The following is an 18176-nucleotide window of genomic DNA, read 5'->3' on the forward strand; positions in this document are numbered from 1 at the left end:
CGAGGTTCTTCCCCTCAATAACTCCATGCTCCAAATCAGTGCTTCTCATTCAAGGGCTCCCCCCGCCCCCCCCCCGCCACCCCCCACTCCCCCCAGGGGACATTTGCCAATAGCTGGAGATAATTTTGGTTGTCATGATGGGAGATAGAGGGTGCTACCAGGATCTAACAGGCAGGTGCCTGGGATGCTGCTGAACATCCTACAATGCCCAGAACAGCCCCATGCCAGGAATTACTCACTTTGTCATGTCAGTAGTGCTGAGGTTGAGGAACCCTGATCTAACAGACCAATCCAGATAGATACGCAGATAATTTCAGTGCAGTGTGATAGGAGTTACGAGAATTAAATAAAATATTTTATGTACAGGGGCCAAGACTTGGTAGTTCTCACTGAAAGGTCATGCCCTTCATGCAGTGACCTGCTTCTGCAAGGACTTATGTTGGTAGCAAACAGCCAGAGAAAGAAGGCAGTCTTTGCATTCACTACGCAAGGGAGGTGTCACTCCAGGTGACCTAAACCTGGCTTGTGTGATCCAGTCCTGCCTCTTGCTTCCAGCTCTGTCAAAATCCCTGCCCGTCTACAGGTTACCAGGACCTTGGGGGCAGAGGGATCCCAGAATGAGAGCTGGACCTGCTGGGGGAGGAGGCAACCTTCAGCATTGAGTATTCCTTTGCACTTGCCCTTCCCTCTCATCTGAACACTCCCATCCCTCACTCGAGCTCTGCTGGGGAAAATGATGAATGAGTCACGAAGTGAATCACTGGGGAAAGCCCTCCCCGGGAGCTGTGGCTGAGAACCCACCCAGGCGACATAACTTCCTGGTTCCTTTCTTGCCTCTCCCCACAAAAGATTAAAAATAAAACGGGAAATAGTTAAGATGACTTGCTGCAGTAACTTTTATACTTTTATAATAAGAAAGTGAAAATGTTTAAAGAAGCCAAACTGGTAGGCTACCCGAATTAGGTCGAGCACGATGAAGACTCTATTCTGTTGCGTTGGCATCAGGCTCGTTCAGAACCGACTGCTTCAAGCAAGTCATTCTCCCAAAGAGGCGGAGGCAGGGTGGAAAGAAAACGTGAGCCTAAATTGAAATATCCAGGGCCTTAAGAAATCACTCACGCTCTCTGAGCATCTCGAAGTTTCCTGGCTTTCAAAATGGGTTTGATGGCACCTCGTACCATTGTTTGGAGGGTAAAGGAGTTCAGGCATGTGAAGGGACTTCGAAAGTTAAACAGCCTTGTACAATTATTGCTAAATGTTGGGGACAGGATAATAGCATTGTAGCTTTGTTTTCATCTTTCAAAAACATGTCTTGAAATAATTACGGAGGGTCGGGTGCGGTGGCTTACGCCTGTAATCGCAGCACTTTGGGAGGCCAAGGTGGGCAGATCACCTGAGGTTAGGAACTCGAGACCAGCCTGGCCCACATGGGGAAACCCCATCTCTACTAATAATACAAAAATTAGCCAGGTGGGATGACGCATGCCTGTAATCCCAGCTACTCAGGAGGCTGAGGCAGGAGAATTGCTTGAACCCCAGGAGGTGGAGGTTGCAGTGACCCAAGATCAGGCCACTACACTCCAGTCTGGGTGACAGAGCAACACTCTAGACTTTTTTTTTTTTTTTTTTTGAGACAGAGTTATGGAGGAAATGATATTCGGGATTTGCTTTAACATAAGGATGGAGGAGTGGGAGGGGGCAGAGATGGAACCCTGACTGTGAGTTGATGATGGTTGTGACTAGTGAGAGGTATCTGTGCCTTCATTCTTCTAGTCTATTCTCTCTACTTTTAAATTTGAATTTCCACCATTTAAAAACATCTGTTAGATATTTTAGGTATACTGAACTATATACTTAAAAATGGTTAAGATGGTAAATTTTATGTTATGGACATTTTATCACAATTAAATATATATATACACATCCCTCTTTTAAAGTCAGTAATTGAGATCAGCAATATATATGAGGCACAAGGAACACAGAAAAGCAATCATATGAGAGGGAAAAAGAGAAAGCCAGGATTAAAGGGGCATAGCTCTTTTGCCCCCTTTTCTGGGAATTTGTTAAGTACAACCACTGAAAGAAGCAGGACTCTCCCTGGCTGGAGGACTAGAGAGTGAGCAGGAACTTTGGCCAGGACGTTGGAAATACCCTCCTGGGGGCACGTGACCTGAGATGGTTGAGGAGCGGTTGGGTGCTGCATGCATGCGAGGCCGGTGCCTGCCAGGGAGCGTGAGGATGAAGACAGGTTGCCCAAGCCTGGAGAGGCCCACTGTCTGCAGGGCAAGCATTCAGAGAGCACACCAGCACACCATCCTCGCATTTGGCAGCGAGCAAGGCAAATGAAGACACAGGACAGTGTGGAGGGCTCTGCATGCTGGGCTGTAGTTTGGACTTGGAAACAGATGAAATGAAAGCTGTAGTCACTTCCCTTTTTGCCTTTTAAAAAATATATGTTCAGGGGAAAAAACACACGTCAGAAATGGAGTCATTTGAAGCTAAGTGTCACCCATCTCGGAATAATTGTCCGCCAGCACTAGATTTTACAAAGTGATTGGTGGCACAGAGCACTCTTCCTGATGGACAACACTGGCCCGGCAGTGTAGGAGGGAACGCAGGCCACTGGCAGAGCAGCAGAGTCTGGGGTGGGCCGTGGCCTCTCCTCTGGCCCCAGTTCTTCAGTCGTGACACCTGGGGATATGTCCTTTCATCTCTTGGGCTCTCTGCATCCCCACCTTGAAGGGAGGACTGGATGGAATCCAAAGACTGATCACAGGCGGCTGTGTCTGTGTTTGCAGTTGTTCCTGGCAGGCAGACCACACTGGATGTGTCTTAGTCGTAATCTGGGGGCCTGGGCGTGATGAGCTCTTGTTCCTTCTACTGTGTAACTTGCACTAGAACCTAAGGAGGCCTCTCAACCAGGGTCCTTTTTTCAGCTGTCACCAAGGGTACAATTAATGGCACAAATCGGTTCTTCCCTATGACGCACTTTGTGTGAGATGCCTGGATAGCAAAGGCAACACTTGCACTGTGCGTTTTCCCTCCTGGATTCCAATAGCTTTCCAGTTAGTTCATAGGTTTCAAGGGATTTGGATGGTGCAAAATGGAGGCCTTTTGGAAGAAATTAAAAATGCGAAGCCTGATAAGCGTAACCACCATTCTTTTTTTTGGTTTTTTTTTTTTTTCCTCACTGGCTAATGCATTGTGTGTTTAAAAGGAGATTTGGCCCAACCCAGCCTCAAGCCATTATTTACTCAACCTTTGTTTTCTTTTTCTTTTTCTTTTTCTTTTTTGGTGGTTGTTGTTGTCGGCTCATTATAACCAACTGAACTCAGCCTTTCTTTAACATTTATTTTCTGTGTCTGTGCTCTGGACTTAAGTGAATACAAGATCTGAGAGAGATGACCCACCAGGGGTAGTGGTTTTCAAATTTTGGCAATGGGCCTGTTTTTCTTTAAACAAAAGATTGGTTTTCTGAGACTATGCAACAACTTTACGCAAAAACTGTATTTTTGTCCACAAACTTGGTGACTTAGAACAACACAAGCTTATTATCTTATGGTTCTAAACACCATAAATCTGAAATCAAGCAGACCTGTGCTCCCTCCAGAAGCCAGGGGAGAATCCTTCCTTGCCTTTCCAGCTTCTGATAGATCCAGGCGTTCCTTGGTCTGTGACTGTGTAACTCATGTCTGTGGCTTTACTGGCATCCTCTGCTCCCCTTCTCTCTTTTCTGTGTGTCTATTATAAGGACACTTGGATTTATGGGCCCACTAAGGTAGCCCAGGATGATCTCATCTCAAGATCCTTAACTTAATTACATCTGCAAAGACCCTTTTTCCAAATAAGGTCTCATTCACAGGTTCCAGGACATAGACATATTTTTTTTGAGGATCGTCATTCAACCCAGTACAAAAACCTTACACGGGGCAGAAGAGAGAAAGGGGAGAGCTCTGCTTATATCATTATCACATTGTCAGGACCTTGACCTCCACACATTCAGATCCCACCCCTTTCCCCCATCCTTTGCCCGGTAAGCCATGCACCAAGGATCCAAATTTGAAAACCAGAGTTTTAGCAGAGAGAGCTTGGGAGACTTGGGAGTCAAAGGCCTACGCTGGGAAATGGGCCTGGAGTTTCCACAAGACCACTTGGCCTCTCGGTTTCATCATCTGTGAAAAATGAGATATTCAGGTCTACGCTACAGTGTTGACATAGAGTCTAAATGAGATCCTTAGTTCTTGGGTCATTTCCAGGGCTCGGTAGCATGAGTTTACTCTATCCTCATCCCACGACATTCTACCCCGTGGAAAAGGTGTTGAGATGTTATGGAAACACTTCTGACTTCACAGAAGGGTTGGTTCCTGAACCAGTGGACAAGAAAGTTAATTCTGGCTTTCAAAGAAAGCCAAGAGCTCTAGAATTGTAGGGTTCAGGTTTTCATCTTTTCCTTTGGCAGAAAAGAGAGCATTCTTCAAGCCTATTCAATTCTAAGTACCAAATGACAAGCCATATTAAACAGATCCCAGTGAGCTCCCCACATCCTTTCCTGCTTACACCACAAGTGGACTGTGTGCCAAGCAAGGCTTTGAGATCAATTGCACTTCGGTGGCTTTTGAGTAGTTTCTCAACTCCATCTCATCTAGTGACATTTTAGAACGGATAATTATTTGTTGTGGAGACTGCCCTGTGCATTGCAGGTTCAGTGGCATTTTTGGCCTTTACTCACCAGATGCCAGCAGCAACCCCAGCCCATTGTGACAAGCAAAACTGTCTTCAGACATGGCTCAGTGTTCCCTGGCGGGCAAAGTTGCCACTGGTTAAGAACCACTGCTTTAAGAGAACCTATGCTCGAGGTCAGGCACCGTGGCTCACGCCTGTAATCCCAGCACTTTGGGAGGCCAAGGCAGGTGGATCACCTGAGGTCAGGAGTTTAAGACCAACCTGGCCAACATGGTGAAACCCCCGTCTCTACTAAAAGTACAAAAAATTAGCTGGGCATGGTGTCAGGCACCTGTAATCCCAGCTACTTGGGAGGCTGAGGCAGGAGAATTGCTTGAACCGAGGAGGCAGAGGTTGCAGTGAGCCAAGATCGTCCCAGTGTACTCCAGCCTGGGCGACAAGAGTGAAACTCCTTCTGAAAAAATAAAGAGAACCTATCTTCTTTCAAGCCAGCCTGTCATGTGTCAGAACTAAACAGTCATTTTCCTTATAATTTTTTTTAAAGGCCCAGTTGCTGCCTGCCCATTGCTGATGCAGGAAGTCTGAGCCATTCAGTTAACACCAACCCGAAAGATGCAGTCAGAGGCTGACTTTGCTTCCCTGCTGTGCACAATTTGTCTCTTCCCTCTCCTTCATCTGCAAACAGAACCAGAAGTGATCTTCCAGAAGAATAAAGCTCATATTGTTTGTTCCAATTATGAGGATCGTTTCTCCAGTTCTGGTCTCAGGTGGGCCTTAAGGACCTCACCAGGTGATCTGCCCAGGTGAACGTGGTATGCCCTGAAGGTCTGCTATTTACCAGTCTGTCTTGTTACCTTTTTTAGAGGAGACATTCCTCAGCAATACCTGGCCTCCATTTTCCAGCCTGTGAGTTAGAACCCCGATGCTCAGATTTCTCTAGAGGAACACACTGCCTGCAAGGATGAGTTTTCCAGAAAAGCCATCTTCCAGGACAGAGACGCAGAGAAATTAAGCAACTCATGTTGATTCAGTCTGGGAATCTCGAGAGAGCTGACAAGCAGGGCGGTGGGGGGTGGCCAGGAGCTGACATGGCTTTCTGGTAGGCAGCCCCACATCCTGCTTCCTCCCTGTGCTGAGTGTAATCACTTCTGCCCCTTCAGGAAAGTACTTCACACCCGTGGCATAGAGCCAACAGTGAGGTGGATTCCGGGTCCTCTGGATGCCTGGGATGGTGAGATGCTTGAGAAAGTTTTGGCAGTTTGTTCAGACTTGGGGACTCTCCAGTCTGCCTTCCTATCACCCAGCAGGAATGCCCTTCCCTTCAACCCTGATACCTGGGCACTTGGCCTCCACCTGAATACCCTTGGTGGTGAGCAGCTCACTACCCCTCTGAAGACAGCCAGTCCCCCGTGCTCCATGTTCCTTGTCACCTGCTATCTTATGACTGCATCCTGAATCCGACTCTGGCTTCTGGAGGGAAACTTGGTGCTTAAGCTTTTATTCCCCATGACAGTGTTCCAGCCTTGCTGCCTGCTCATTGTGTTTTCTGGGGCTAAACTTCTCCAGTCCTTTAGTTATTACATGGCACGGCTTCTAGATCCTTACTTCTCCCAAAAGCCCCTCCAGGAGGTAATCCAGCATGGTATGGCCCCCTCTAAATGTCACATTCCAGACTGACCACACTGGCAGCTGACTCTATGAGAATATGGGGGCTGCCCCTTTGTAACCCTGACTCTGTTAATGCCACGGAGGTTGCATGGGCATTTGGGATAAGTGCATCACTGGTGGGAACTCATGCTGAAGCTCCATTCCGCTGCAGCTCTTCCTGCCTTGATGAGCTCTTGCTCCATACCTTCCTCAGCCCATCCTAAAGTGCTTGCAGGCGAATGCTGGCTCCCTTTCAGACAGATAGTTTGGCCATGTTGAATCCTCAGTCTACCTCTAGTGTATGAATCTTCCCTCTCAAATGGGCATAACATGCCAGTGTATCCATCCCACATGCAGAGAATGGGATAGGAGTGACCCTTTGGCACACTGGCCAAGACCTCCATCCTGCTCCACAGGACTTCACACATCTGCTCCACGGCTTTGAGATGGTTCCGCCAGTTCTGTGTCTCAGCATCATGCATGGTTCCCTCTCTCATATAGTGAGTGAGTGTTTTTGTCCAGTCTGTACTTGCCTCACAGTATAATGTGTTTATGACTTGTCTTCAATCTAATCAGCATCCTGTTCCTATCAGAAAACTGCAGAGGAAATGAAGTTGGTCTGGCGTGACTTGTTCCTGCTAAACTCTGTCGACTTCTGACAGTGACAGCTCCCTGCTTGCAGAACACATAAATCCAGAGTTTAATAATCCATCCTTAGTTTTCACCAGGCTTCAAAATCAGCCGACTGTCATGTCAGCAAGCGGCCGTGTCCCCCTTAGTGATAAAATCAGGGTGAAATTTGCATTTGACTCACATCTTGACTGTTTTCCACCGTTCGTCAAACAAAACCCATGGTGTAGGGGCCCCGCTGGAGGTGAGGTTGGAAAGGGGTGAGAATGCATCGGTTGCGTGCAGCTGGTGCCAACCTGGCTAGCACCTCTGCAGTCTGCCCTTCCCAGTCAGAACCTCAGGACACCAACCCTGCCTCTAGATAGGAGGGATTTCTGCTGATGCAGCCTATGTTCTGCTGCATGTTCAGTACTTTCCCCGGATGCAGGACGTAGTTTTGATGTTAGGATTTCTGCTTTATCCTGGAACCCCAGCTCCCATCCCTATCTTGTGCCCTATGCATGATCACTGAGTCTCTACTCATTTGCTCCTGCATGGGGCCTGGGCATGAATCCACGGATAGACAGTGCCCCAGGGACCTGCCGCTAGCCCACCCACTCTGCCCCCAGAGCCTGATTCTCATTCTGCTGAGCCTCACTCTGGTGCTCACGGGCCTCCTTGGACACTGTACACCAGCACCGTACACCAGCCAGGGCAATCCCCACCAGTCAGCACACACTCGGAGGGAGGCCCTGAGCCAGGTCCCCACCTGCACTCAGAGCCCCATCTGCCTGTAGTCGCACAGCCTGGCATGGAGTCAGGAAGCCTGTGAGGGTTTAAAATAGGGGATGAGTGTGATTTAATATGTTTTGGGAAGATGAACCGAGTCAAGTACGGACTGTATGAGATTGGGGAGTGTATTAGTCCATTCTCATGCTGCTAATAAAGACACACCTACAACTGCATAATTTATAAAGAAAAGAGATTTAATTCACTCACAGTTCAGGATGGCTGGGAAAGCATCAGGAAACTTACAATCATGGCAGAAGAAGAAGCAATCACTTCCTTCTTCACATGGTGGCAGGAGAGAGAAGTGCTGAACAAAATGGAGAAAAGCCCCGTATAAACCCATCAGAACTCGTGAGAACTCCCTATCGTGAGAACAGCATGAGGGTAACCACCCCCATTATTCAGTTACCTCCCATGGGGTCCCTCCCACGACCCGTGGGAATTATGGGAGCTACAATTCAAGATGAGATTTGGGTGGGGACACAGCGAAACCATATCAGGGAGGTCCCTGATATGGGTCCTTCTATTACCCTGTGGTTGGGGTAATAGCAGGCCTCCCTTCCCTTCTTGGGCTTTTCGGAGATGGTCATTTTTTTGACAGACACGGCGTGAGGACCTTCACTGATTACCACAGACTCCCACAGAGTCATTTGCCCCGCCGTGTCCTCCTACAGGCGGGGGAGCCACCCTCAGAGGAGCTGGTGACCCTCCTACCTTGAACTGCACTGCTTCAGCCACACCAGTGAGGCAGGCATTCCCTGGCATGAGAAAGCGTCTGGCTCCCTCTGGTGACAAGAGGAAGCACCTGAGCCTTTGCCGCCATTTCCACTGGTGGTGGAGCACGAGGTGAGGATGGATAAACTAAGGTCCAGAGATCCCCCACACTGTAGGTGCGGGGTGGAGTCCCAAGTAGAGGCCCCATGCCACTAAAGCTCAGTTCTGTCTCCCTCAGGACCCTGGGCTTCCCAGAGCCAGCAGGGATATGGCTCTGAGCAGGTTCTTCAGCACTCTGCAGGCGCTGGTTCCTTTGGAATTAATTAGATTTCTCTAAAATTAGCTTAGAGTTAGAGGGATTTCCAAAGCCCTCAACCTTCTGCTGCCATTTCCCCTTTCTGAGTGGGAGGAAGTGCAGGATCCTGCAGGACCTGGGCTCCTACGCAGTTGTGTGGCCACAGGCTGGTAATGTAACTTTTCTGTGCCTCCATTTCTTCATTTATAAACTGATGGTGAAGACACCTGCCTCTCGGGGTTGTGAGGATTACATTCTATGCAGTGTCTAAAGGCCCTAGCACATGGCGGGTATTTAATTAAGAATGATTTTGTTGTTGCCATTATTCATGGCATCAACAGAGCTGGATCTCGAGGTAGCAGTGGGCTTTCCACTGTGGAGCAGCAGAAACCGAGTTAGTTCGCTATATCCCCATTGAGTGAACACCTGAGCATGCTAGTGAATGAGAGTGAGAAATAACTGGGAACTACACAAGTTGGCTTTTGGGAGCACCAGAGCTGGCTAGCACAGGGCCTGACTTGGGTCTTGCCCTTGAGGCCTGGGCTCATCCCCAAGGTTTTCCGAGCCTCAGGGACCTCCACAGCAGCACTCCATAGCAGGTGTCTCCCTGAGGCCACATAGCCTGAGCAGGACACACCTGAGCCCAGGAGCTGCTGTGCTTCTTGCTGTAGGCAGGTCATAGCCTGACCTCGGCGCACCTCCGCGGGCAGCTGCAGCCCAGCCATCTCCTACACAGCCACACCACTGACTCTTCTTGTTTGCAAGGGTCTCCGTCTACTGTCTGCCTCACATCTTGGGGCTCTCCCACACCTCTGCCTTTGCCCAGGCTGTTCCTGCTTTGCCCAGGCTGTTCCTGCCTTCTTCCTGTTCTTCCTCCCCTTTCTTTAGTCCTCTGCTTTGTTTTTATTTCAGCTTCCCACTTACTGTACATGTATCACTGGGCACGTTACTTCATCTCTCTGTGTCTCAGTTTCCTTACGTTAAAATGGGAGTGTATCTGCGCATAGGGTTGTGGCGACGATTAAATGAGGTAGTACATGGAATGTGCTAGAACTCAGCCCTCAGCTCACTAGGCATCAGCACCGTCATCCTCACTAGCAACAGACCTGCCTCAAAACCCAGCTCTGGCCCTACGCTATGAATGGGGATATTTCCCTCACTGATGTCCTGTGACTCATCTGCCATACTCGAGCTTGCGCCCTGTGAGAAACAGTTTATCTTGTGTACCACGTTTAGGAAACTTATTTCCAAGCCTGCCCTTTGCTAGGCACGGTGAGGGGGTCCAGCGATAATGAGTAAAATGGTCCCACAGGTCAGAGCTCCCTGGCAGTTTTCCACCCGGCCAGTCCTAACCAGGGAGCAATGCCCATGAAGGTGCTGATTTTATCCTGACATCTGGGGGCCCTGGGATGGCTGCATTCACGTTGGATGGCCCACCACATGCATCTAGTACTCCATGCCACTAGGGGGCACACCACAGCTTCCAAGTACCCTCTCAAGTGTTGGCCCACATGATCCCCACTCTGGTCTTGGGAGCTGTGTTAGTCTCCTGGGGCTGCCATAACAACATGCCATAGACTGGGTGGCTTCAACAACAGACACTCATTTTCTTACAGTTTTGGAGGCTGGAAGCCTGAGATGGTAGTGTTGGCCATGGGTCTCTTAAGAACTCTCTCCTTGGCCAGCAGACGGCCAGCTTCTCACTGTGCCCTCACACGGTCTGTCCTCTGTACCTGAGCTTCCTTGGTGTCTCTGGGTCCAAATCCCTAAGGACACCCATCAGATTAGGGCCCATCTAAGGGCCTCATTGTAATGTAATAATCTCTTTAAAAGCCCTATCTCTGAACACAATCACGTGCTGAGGTTCCCGCGGCCAGGGCTTCAACATGGATTTGAGGGGACACAGTCCAGCCCGTAATAGGGGGAGAGCAGGGCAGGTGACTGCCCTGTTTTCCAGATGGAGCTGCTGAGGCTTTGAGGGGTGAGTGCCTCGAGCACAGCCTCCTGCTGTTGCTAAGTTGTCCTGCAGAGCTTTGAAGCCTGAACTAGACACAAGGTCCTGCGGTCTCTGCACTGCCCCTTGCTGGGGGCTTGGGTGTGGACAGCAGGGAGCCTGCAAAACCTGCATCTGAGAGGATGTCCCTAGAGAGCTTCTGGGAGGACCCCACTGGGCTCACACACAGAATGCGGGCCCTTCAGGAAGGCACAAGCTGTTGTTTCTCTGGATGGATTTCCGGCCTGCGGCTAGCCAGCCAGAGAGGCATGTGCCTTCACCCTGGTAAGGCCTGGCTGGGCCTGGAGAGAAAGAAAAGATGCCTCTTTCAGCTAGGTTGAGAAGCCCAGAGTGGCAACAGCTGCGGCTTTGACCAACTGCAGATCCTCCCCGAGCATCCTGAAGTCGTCTAGCTTTGTGGGATATCGTTATACAAATTATTCTCCATGAGGCCAGGGCTTCCTACCCCTCCCAGGCCTGGGTAGTAATCAGTTTACAGTTCAACACACACGGAGTCCCTCCTCCAGGGCTGTACTGCCCCTATGGAAAAGGTGATTTTTGTGTTTTTTTAAACAGGGTCTCTGCTTTTCCCGAGCCTACAATTATTATGGCAAGCCCAATACATGGAGTTTTTTTTTTTTTTTCCTCCAGTCCAACTAGAAGCAGAACTATAGAAAAAGTCTCAGGTCACGTACTATGACAGAAGAGAGAAGGTGAAGGATGAGAGAAAATCTAGGAAGGCCCCTTGGAGGAGGTGGTATTTAAGGCAGGCTTTGAATGGAGGATCAGTTTTTGATGCACCGCTAGGGCCCTGGAGGAGAAGGAGAAACTGGGTTGAAGACCAGCATAAGCAAGGCCCATGCCCATACCAGACAGCAGTAGGGGCCATACTCGGTGCCCCAGAGGCCACACGGGGTACACCAGGCAGAGTTCTGTGCTGAGTGCTCACACTCGTGGCGGCATACAGTGCTGCTTTGGCTGGCTTTACGAGAGATTTGGGTTCTGTCACCATGCTCAGTGACTTTGGTCTGGCCACATTTGGTGAATGGCTGCCCCTCCACCTTCCAGGGTGAATATCAAATTGTGTCCATATTCTTCCTTTAGCCCATGTGCCCAGATGCATTTTTTTTGGGCGGGGGAAGGTAGGTATTTTTCATTTTTATGGATACATAGTAGCTGTGTGTGTGTGTGTGTGTGTGTGTGTGTGTGTGTGTGTGTGTGTGTATGGGGTACGTGAGATTTTTTGACACAGGCCTACAATGTGCAATAATCACATCAAGGTAAATGGGGTATCCATCATCACCTCAAGCATTTATCATTTCTTTGTGTTACCGACATTCCAGTGATACTCTTTCAGTTATTTTTAAATGTAAAATAAATTACTGTTGACTGTAGTCACCCTGTTGCAATATCAGATACTAGAGTTTATTCATCCTGTCTATATTTTTGCACCCATTAACCATCCCCACCTCCCCTGCCCCCTTCCCAGCCTCTGGTAACCATCATTCTACTCTTTACCTCCCAAATGCATTTTGGGTACCAGCTATTTCTTTGGTCAGTGCTGGTACCACTAGTGGTGCTTTTTTTTTTCTTTTTCTCCTTTTTTTGAGACAGAGTCTCGCTCTATTGCCCAGGCTGGAGCGCAGTGTTGTGATCTCGGCTCACTGGTGCGATCTTGGCTCACTGCAACCTCCACCTCACAGATTCAGGCAATTCTCCCTGCTTCAGCCTGCCTAGTAGCTGGGATTACAGGTGCCCACCACCATGCCTGGCTTTTATATTTTTAGTAGAGATAAGGTTTTCACCATGTTGGCCAGGCTGGTCCCGAACTCCTGACCTCAGGCGATCTGCCCACCTCGGCCTCCCAAAGTCCTGGGATTACAGGTGTGAGCCACTGCACCCAGCCCACTGATGGTGCTTTTTAATGAGAAAGTCTGGTCAAGGGCAGCAAGGGCAGAGGCTGGTTCTAGTCCAGGATTCTCAACCTGTCTGCAGGTAGAATCACCTGGGGACTTTGGGAAAAGCCCATTGCCTAGTGTGTCTTCCAGACCAGCTTCATCACAATCTCCAGGAGTGAGACCTAGGGATTGGTGTTTTCTTTTTACAAGTTTCTGAGGTGAATCCAATGTGCAGCCCAGTTTGAGCCCCATTGATGTATCTGATCTAAGAGGTCAACAGGTGCAGTAATGTGGGGAGGGGCACATATGCTCTGGCTCTGTCATGTACTGTGTGGATTTGGTAACATTAGTGTTTGGTTTTGTTTGTAAACTTTGTGATGGAGATAATTCTATTACACAGTGTCTAACACCTAATTTGTGCTCAATAAATGGTCACCTCCTCACCGTCTCCTTCCCTGTTCACCTCCTCCTCAGACATAAGCAAGGTCAGTTATGTAATGCTGGCAGGCTGTTGGCAGCAGGCACCAGATAAATGTGTATTGCAGGTTTCCTGCTGTTTATGGATCATGTTTTATTCATGCACATATGATGCAGAATGCTCCCTCTGAGGGGAGAACTTTGAGCCTGCAGATTTAAGATGTGGCAATACATTTATATAAATTGAGGAGACGAAGGCAAGTGGGTGATGAGAAACGCAAAGCCCTGACGGAGGGTTTCACAGGCATTTAGGAAGTGGAGGCCAAGGATGTTCAAGCAGCCTGGAATTGCTCTTTTTCCTAGGTCAGCACTGCCCTCTAGTGGGGCAGAGTCACAGCCAACCCGCGTTTCCTCCTCACTCCTCCCACTTGCGAGAACCATCTAGGGTTAAAATTACTCCAAGTCCAGCCAAAGAAACAGCCTAGGGAGACCAGCCATGCACGCCCCCATTCTTGGACTCATTGTTCCTGAAACACAAAGATAATTCTAGAAAGCTTCTATTCATGCCAGATATCAGAAGATTTGCATGCATTACATATAATTCTCACTGTTCTACAAGACTGATAACCCTTCTTCCCAGACTCAGAGTTGGGAAGTGAATCTTCCAGAAATTGAGAAATGTAACCAGGATTCCAGCCTGGTAGGAATCAGCCTTGGCTGATTCTCACGCCTTCACCACTGTGCCGTGATACCTGCTCTTTCTCTAGGAACTAGGTCCCGGAGTCCTGAGTTAAAATCCACTTCCACCATGTACAAGCTGTGTGACCTTGGTGCAGCTGACTGATCTCTCTGCGCTTCTGTATTCTCATCTACAAAAAGAGTCTCATAAACTCACCTTATCAAGGCATAGTGAGAATGATTGACCTTGAATAAATCAGAAGGGGCAGAGAAAGAGCTGAAGAAAATGACTGCCTCTGGATGGTAGGAAAACTGTGTTTTCCCCCTGCTGAATGCATTACTTTTATAATCAGACGAAATGATCACTTTCCTTGTAAAGAGGTAGAAGCCGTCACCCGTGTGTACCAGCCCTGCGAGATATTATAGGAGAGACCGTTTTCTTGTTTCCTCGAAGTTGAGTCAAGCAAATCTCAAGATTCCTCTAAAGAAAACCTCAGGCTTCCCCCAAAGGGATCTCTCATTTTGTCAAGTACAGAACCCTCAGCTCTGCCCTTCTGCTGCCCAGCTAGCTTGGTGCTGTCTCTGTCACTGCTAAGAAGTCAGGACTGACTGTCATGTGAGATCTCACTGTCCTCAGGTGCCCTCCCTTCCCACGTTCAGGAAGGGATCTGAGCAGAGGTTTGAGTGCAGGGCAGCGTGACTCCTGGGTACAGTAGGTTCTCCCTTCACCACTCTCCCAAGGACAGCTGAGAAGTGCCTGGTCCTTGCAGTTCCGTTCTATCAGCACCTGAAATTCTATTGCAATAGATAATTGTATTCTTCAGAAGTATGTTCTTCAGAGAATCGTATTTGTCTCTAAGCTTTCTGTCATTAGGAGAACTGTGTTGGGATTTATTAAAAATTACTCATAAGAAATAAGCCTTGTGCATAGAAACAGACGAGAAGGGAAGATCTAAATGCATGTCAGTGTTTCTGGGTGGTGAGAGATGGTGATTTGTGCTGTCATCTTTGTAATAATGATTGCTAAAATTTATTGAGCACTTACTGTATGCCAGGCGCTGTGGAAAGCCCTTGTGAGGCACTAATCACCCAAACCTCAAAACAATCCTGCGAGGTGGGTACTGTTAACCTCACTCACAGGTGAGAGTATGGAGGGCCAGAGTAGGTAAGTACCTTTGTCAAGGTCACACAGCCAGTGACTGCAGACCCTGGCCATGCAGCTCTAGGGTCTGTGTTCTTGGCCACTGTGTTATTCTGCCTCTCTACGCTTGGTTTATCCTCAGTCATCCTTAATGAGCATGTGCTGCTTTTAAAATGAAGAAAAGGGGTTTTGTTTGTAAATTAACTTACATGGTTCCAGGAATGATAAACGCATATGAAGAAAGACAGTACAAATATAATAATGCCTAAAGGGAAATATGAGAACGATGCTAATCCTTTACATGATCCTGTATTTTCCACATTCTCTAAAAAAAGCAGAGTTTACCTAAGTGATTTAAAACGTCATAAAAAAAGAAAATCCTGCTGTTAGAGGCACCAGTAAGAAGAACAAATAACAGCTGATGGTTTTTGAGAATGTCTGTGTTCCAGGAATTGATCAGAAGCATTCTGTGCACTACGTATTTGACCCTCAATAACCCCTTAGGAGGTAGGGATTGTTGTCATCCCATTTTACAGAGGAGGAAACTGAGGCCGAGGGAGCATTTGTACCATGCTCACAGACACACCAGTACAGCAGAGCCTTGACACCGATCCTCCCTCAAGGTCAGTAGTACCTCTCTGTCCTTTTCCACCCCAGGAGACCTTGAGGGTCAGAAACACGAATGGGTGCATCTAATTGCAAAGTGAGTAGGGGAGCTGATAGCAGTCCCTGGGTTTCTGGATGGCCTGTTTGGCTTTGCTCTCAGGGGCATAAAGAGTTTATGCCAGCAGGTAGCAGATGCCTGCAGCTCCTCGGGCAGCCTGTGCTCCTCTCACCCAGCCCCACAGGCTGTTCAACGCAGGAGCCATGCCCCATGCTACACTTTGACAAAGAGAAAAATAAAGGTTCACATGGAAGGGTCAACATTTTTCTCAAACAATGCAGCATGCACCACCATAGCCAGCCAGTGATAGTATCTCTTCCAAGAGCAGGCCTTCCAGTGAGCCTGCAGAAGCCGCAGGGCCAGGCGGAAGGAGGGAGAACAAGAATGGGTGCCATGGAGTCTTCCTCTTGGAGCATCAGTGGAAACTGATGTTTATGAAGTGCTTCATCTGTGCCAGGGCTGGGCCCCCACCATTGCTTTCATTTATTACTCACCACAGCCCTATAAAATGTCTTAGTAGCACACTACTTTTCAGATGCAGCAAACCAGCATAGAGAGGCTGAGGGGGCTCCCCAGGTTTCCAGGCAGTTAAGTTGGTAGTACTTGGACGCACATCCAGTCCAGCTGTAGAACCCACTCTGAATCCCACCCCACCTGCCCTCTGAAGGGCAACTGGGCTTCCCTGCTGTAAGTTTTGATTTCAGAGTAGCCGTGTGCCTGCATCTGAATGGACTCCTCGATTCAAGGAGCTGCCTTTGAATAGCAAAGTTTAGTTGTTTTTGTTCTTCAACCCTGTCTATTTGCACGTGAGCTAACTGGGGACCCAGTTTTGCGTAGGCATATTGTGGTTAAGCTGCTGCCTGGAAGCCAAGTGCCCCGGGGCGAGCTGCTTAAGTGGGCCTCATGCCTTCTTGGATGAAACTGGGATGGTAGCACCCAACCCATTGCCTAGTTGGGAGTAATCCTGAGGTAACATTGGTGAATCACATAGTCCAACTGGCGTCACACAGCAGGCACTCAAATAGCCATTTGTGTGTATGTACTTATATCACGCATGTGCATACGTGTGTATTAAAAATATTAAAATCACGTTTTCTTGCCTGAAACGTAGATACACAGCTTACACGTTGTTGTGAAATAAATACCCATGAAGTCTATAAACAAATCAACCACAAAACTAGCATTGGAGAATCTCCTCCCCACCTGTCCCCAAGGACCCTCCCTTCCCCCGACAGTAACCACAGTCCTGACTTCTGTAATAGTCCTTTCCCTGGTGTTCTTTATAGTTTGACTCCCTGTCATTAAAGAGTTAACTTTGCTGTTTGGAATCCTGCATAAGTAGACTCACACCAGGACGTGTTCTTTCAACTTCAACCATGTCATTGATGATCACCTATAGATGATCTGTTTTCTTTGCTGTAGAGTAACTCCAGAGTACGGGAGATCACAGTATGTTTTTCTGTTCTACCATGGTTGGGCATTTGGGATAGTTTCCAGTTGGGAAATCTTACAAACAATGCTGGTGTGCGCATTCTTGGATGCTTCTCCAAGAATGTGCAGTCCGTCAGCACACTTGCTGTGGGGTGTTTACCAAGGACTCAGAATTGTGCATCATTGGATTAGTTTATCTTCACTTTTTCAGACACTGCCAAGTTTTGCCAAGGTGTTGTCCAATTTACACTCCTACCAGCAGTGTAGGAGAGCTTCAGATCCTTGCCAACACTTGGTAGTGTCAGACTCTTTAACCAGCTGAAACACACTCGTATTTAATTGGGGTCTAAATTTATAATTCTCTGAATTCTAATGAGACTGACCATTTTCTTATATCTTATTGTTCATTTGGATTTCCTGTTTTTTGAAATGCCTATTAAGGTTTCTGTCGATTTTTCTCCTGGTTTTTTTCTTTCTCATCAATTTATAGTAGTTTTTATATAGTCTACATATGAACTCCTTGATTCTTACATGTATTATAAAAATATATGTGTTGCACATGTATTTTCCCACATTTTCACATTCTTGGTGAACTCTTCTGATAAATCAGCTTCACTCTGATAATGAAGTTGTTAATTGTAATGTAGTCCAGTCTTTTCTTTCAATAGCTAGTGTTTTTTAAGTTTGTTTTAAGAAATCTTTCAGCCGGGCGCAGTGGCTCATGCCTGTAATCCTAGCACTTTGGGAGGCCAAGGTGGGTGGATCACCTGAGGTCAAAAGTTCAGGACCAGCCTGGTCAACATGGTGAAACCCCGTCTCTACTAAAAATACAAAAATTAGCCAGGCATGGTGCCACACGCCTGTAATCCCAGCTACTCAAGAGGCTGAGGCAGGAGAATCACTTGAACCTGGTGTGGGGACGGCAGAGGTTCCAGTGAGCTGAGATCAAGTCACTTCACTCTAACCGGGGTGAAAAAGCAAAACTCCGTCTCAAAAAAAAAAAAAAAGGAATATTTCTCTACCCCCAACATCATGAAGGTACTTTACTCTGTCATTTTCTAGAAGCTTTTATGTTTTCCTTTTCACCCTTATAGTCTCTGGTCTCTGATCCACCTGGAATTGATTTTTGCACGTGTTGTGAGGTGAGGCTCATTCCCCCACCACCCCCCTCCCTCCGCCCACCGCCTATAGTTGCAAATTGTCCTGGCACCATTTAT

The 18176-nt window shown here is 48.0% G+C and overlaps 1 protein-coding gene across 3 annotated transcripts in view, besides 1 other annotated feature; it reads left to right on the forward strand.

Annotated features, from left to right (window-relative positions):
• Positions 1–18176, forward strand: part of SLCO3A1 (solute carrier organic anion transporter family member 3A1) — a 318728-nt gene that overhangs the window by 215324 nt on the left and 85228 nt on the right. The window lies entirely within an intron of this gene.
• Positions 13316–13365: an enhancer, noted in NCBI's record as "active region_10111". NCBI's record gives its function as "activates an Ori minimal core promoter by ATAC-STARR-seq in GM12878 lymphoblastoid cells {active_cell/tissue: GM12878}" and the evidence as "EXISTENCE:reporter gene assay evidence [ECO:0000049][PMID:35858748]".

This window comes from Homo sapiens, chromosome 15, assembly GCF_000001405.40.
Source record: "Homo sapiens chromosome 15, GRCh38.p14 Primary Assembly".
Lineage (NCBI taxonomy): Eukaryota > Metazoa > Chordata > Mammalia > Primates > Hominidae > Homo > Homo sapiens.